The sequence below is a fragment of the Homo sapiens genome, chromosome 13 (assembly GCF_000001405.40).
Source record: "Homo sapiens chromosome 13, GRCh38.p14 Primary Assembly".
Lineage (NCBI taxonomy): Eukaryota > Metazoa > Chordata > Mammalia > Primates > Hominidae > Homo > Homo sapiens.
In genome coordinates, this window is record NC_000013.11 from 53,410,447 (window position 1) to 53,414,819 (window position 4,373).

Consider the following 4,373-nt stretch of genomic DNA (forward strand, 5'->3'; position numbering starts at 1 on the left):
CACCTCCTACTGTGCAGCCCGGTTCCTAACAGGCCACAAACCAGTACAGGTGTGTGGCGCAGGCATTGGGAACCCTTGGCCTAGAAGGAGAAGAGAGACTGATAAGGTGGAACAGGTGAATGACAACCACAATGGTGCTGGGGTTAATTTCCTTTAACCAGTAGGATGTCACTTTCCTTTTTACTGTTTTCATTTCCTCCTCCCATCAGCTATTTAGCACTTTCAGCTTGAGCTATGTGTAACTTTGTTTCCTAAAATTGTTGGTCCTAGTTCCTGCCTGGCCTCTAGCTAGGTAAATGCTGATAGAAGAATTCCCTGACCTCTCCAGGCCTAATTTTATCAACGGTAAATAGATGGATTAGGATAACTTTAAGAGACCTCCAAATGAAAATTTTATGATTCATGAAAAGGCAAAAATAAATCCTTCTCTTTTGATTATCTTGCACTGACCAAGTAGGCAACACAGGCCATGTATGCCCAGGGAAACATAATCCAGCAGTGGAGAGATAAGCAACAGAGGGGCACTGGTGCTGAGCCAGGAGAGATAGCAAGGATAAACTACTGAGGTGGACCTTGGGCTCCAATACGAGTTCAAAGGCAGGTAAGAAATAGTGAGGAAATTATCAAATCTAGACTCTTCTACCTTTAATTTTTTTAGTGGTGATTTAGTGATTACTTAAAGTAAGCGCGCGCGCACACACACACACACACACACACACACACACACACACACACACACGTATATATATAAACTCCCCCCAACAAGAGAAGACACTGAATGGCTCACTTCAAAGTTCAGGCAGTGAGTCTCTTTTTAAGTTGTCAGTGAAATACACCTAGGGCTTATGTTTTATGGTTTGCACAGTATGGTCATAATCCTTATAAATGTCTTTCACCTAGTGGCAAGGTAACCAAATGACAGCATGAAATTTTTGAAAGCTGAATGATTTTTCATCAGTTGAGTTAGAAAAACTACAGAAATAAGTGACAGCAATTGTCTTGGTAAGGCTTGTTTTAAATAATTCAGACGATTTGCTTTGTTCTAACTTGCATTTTAAACTATGTATAACCTTCTCAAATCATTACTTTCTAAAGTAAACATATTGGTTCATACACTAGGGTATGTGGATTTAACACAGCAAGGAAAGGCCAGAGCAAATGCCTAGGCCTGCTGTGCCACAGTCAGGGCAGAGCTCTTTACACAAAGGCTGATAATTGGTAATAGAAGCTGAGTGGAAAACAGCCTCTAGGCTCTGCAAAGTGGCTACAGACACAAGCAAAGGAAAGGCTCCACTTACCCACATTCATCTGCTTAGATGTCTACTCTGATCTCCCTCCTCTGTCTTCTTACATAATAATTTTACTAATCAGTCACCACATTCAGGGAAACTGCCTGAAAGTAAAGCTCATATAAAGAAATGAGATAGATTGGGAACCTAAATCCAGATCTCTGCTTAGGCCTGAAGCTGTTTTGTACTTCTGGAGTTTTCTAGCACATAAGCCAACAATTTTGCTTTTATGTTTAGGATAGTTTTGGCTCAATTTCTTCCACTTGCGTTGAAAAAAATGACTGACTTATATACAGAATACGGATTACTGGGCTAAGGTTAAATAGCCATTCTGGTAGGAAACAGCTTGAGCAAAGGCATCTAGGCAGAAAATCTCAGAATGTATTCAAACTGGAGTATACATTAAATGGAAAAAATGGGAGGTAGGTCTAGATAAGAAGTGCTTTGAATTTCCTGATAAAGAAAATAAAATGTACTCTATAAAAAAAATGAGGAACTGTGGAAAGTTTTTGAGTAGGGCAGTGAAATGCACAAACTTTGCTTTCTGAAGAGTTTCCTGGTACTCAAAGGAGAAATATTTGGAAGGGGAGATTTAGGAGTTTATAATAAAAGAGAAAAACATGATAATCAATAATCAATCACTTTGGCAGTGAATAGGAAGTCTTATTATATGTGGTGTAGAATAGACAGGAGGCAAACGTCAAGATTGATTCTAAAATTTTAAGTTTTTCACTGTTTAATGAAATAGTAGGCCCTTGATAAATGGTTTTGAAAGGCTGGTTAACTAGATAAATAGGGGAGTTCTGCTGGCAGATTGTTGGATATAGAAGAAGAGAATGTGTTTTGCTGAGCAGCCAAGGATATGCTAAATCAGTTAATTTTGAAACTGTAAAAAAGAGCATATTCCTAATCAATTCCTAGGATTCAAAACTCAAATGACATTTATCTGTGTATCTGAAACCTGAATGGTGATCATGGACTATCATTTTCTTTCTTATTAAACTGGTAAGTTTATTTTAAAAGAAACTCTGATTTTTCCTGTTAATGGAGGCAACATGTACTTCATTAGCCTAGGGCAGGCATTGGCAACCCACAGTAGACAGGCCAAGGCAGCAGGAGATGATCACCAGTGCTTAATGTTACCATTCTAACCATCAAACAAAATGCCAGTAGGCTGTTAGTCCTTCTTTTACCTCCTCCAGGTTCCATCTTCTCACATGACATCTCCAGTCTCTTGGTACATGCACATTGCCTTCCTGGTGATTCAAATTATTCAGAGTACAACCCTGTCCCTCCCACCCCCAAAACTCTCAGTTCCATATGTCCCATTGCACATTTTTGAATAAATTTACCTCTCTCAAGACCTACCCATTTAAAAAAATCGCTTCTCTTTCTACTCCTCTTCAATCCATTTTCTTTTTTACTTGCAAGTCCAAGCAAAATTCGTGTTGCTTTAGAGGGACTGATTGCAGCCTGGTGTCAGGAGAAAAATACTCATATGTGTCAACTTGGCTGGGCTACAGCACCTAATTATTTAATCAAAGTCTAATTTAGGTGTTACCGGGAAGCTATTTTATAGATGTGGTCAACATTTACGATTAGTTGACATTAAGTAGAGGAGATTACTGTAGATAATACAGGCAGGCCCCATCTAATCAGTTGAAAGTCCTTAGGATTAAAAATTGAGATTACCTAGACAAGGAGGAAATTCTGCCTCCAGACCACAACATCAACTCCTGCTGTCAAGTTTCCAGCATGTTGGCCTGCTCAACAGATTTTAGACTTGCCAGCCCCACAATCACATAAGCCAATTCCTCTCTCTCTCTCTCTCTTTCTCTCTCCCCCTCTCAATTCTACTGGTTCTGTGTTCCTGGATAACCCTCACTGAAACAAGTTCTTTGAAGTTATTTGCATGGTGGTGTGACTGACCAACACTGAAACTTAAATGGGAGTGTCAGCACCATTTGTGAAATGGTACCAACTATTTTGAAAAACAAAATTTGCCTTCATAGTATAGCTCAAAGGGTGATGCTGCCTATCCCCCCTACCTGTTTAAACTGGCTTTCACTTGGAATAAAATTTGTGTAATTAGAATTAGTGGCACCTACTGATGGAGTAATACTAGATCTGGCCTAGAGCTGAATGTGCCAGAAGCCATCAGCTATCTCTTAAATGTAGAGGGAAACTTTTCCGGTCAAAACCAAAAAATTTTGAACCTTAGCACTGGGGATTTGCAAGAGATCTCAGCCATCATTCAGACCGGACTTTTTATTTCAAATATAATGAAATAGAGGCCCAGGGAAAACTGTGTTGTGCAAAGCCACAGTCACTGGAATTATAACATCCTTTTATATTTGTTTTTTCACTTGAAAATCTTTTAATATTTTTCTTTATTGCTAAATATTTTGCTAAAGCATGTTGTTTTGGCCTGGACAATATTCCATCATTTGGTTGTGCCAGAATAATTTTATTAAATATCTGTTTAGTGCATTTAAGTTATATTCATGTTTTCACTTCTGTAAATACTGGGATAAATATCTTTATACATAAGTCTTTGTACACATTTATCATTCCTGAAGATAAGTTTAATGAAAAGAAATTTCTAGGTCAAACAGTATGCACACTATGAAGGATTTAATCCCAGTTGCCAAATTGTCCTCCAGAGAGGTTTTACCAATTTCTAATACTCAGTGATGGATGGGAGCCTGTTTCCCTCTCCTTTGAATATTTTCATTAAAAAACAAACAAATGGCCAGGCATGGTGGCTCACACCTGTAATCCCAGCACTTTGGAAGGCTGAGGCAGGTGAATCACCTGAGGTCAGGAGTTTGAGACCAGCCTGGCCAATGTGACGAAACCTCATCTCTACTAAAAATACAAAAATTAGCTGGGCATGGTGATGGGTGCCTATAATCTCAGCTACTCCAGGAGGCTGAGGCAGGAGAATCACTTGAACTCAGGAGGCCGAGGTTGCAGTGAGCTGGGAGATTGTGCCATTGCACTCCAGCCTGGGCAACAAGAGTGAAACTCCATCTCAAAAAAACAAAAAACAAAACAAAACAAAAAAACATGATGGAAATGGAG

General features: G+C 39.1%; 1 annotated feature.

The window, feature by feature from the left end:
• Window positions 938-1,466: an enhancer, noted in NCBI's record as "NANOG hESC enhancer chr13:53985519-53986047 (GRCh37/hg19 assembly coordinates)". NCBI's record gives its function as "activates a minimal SCP1, AML or CMV promoter by ChIP-STARR-seq in naive H9 embryonic stem cells {active_cell/tissue: H9 hESC(naive)}" and the evidence as "EXISTENCE:reporter gene assay evidence [ECO:0000049][PMID:30033119]".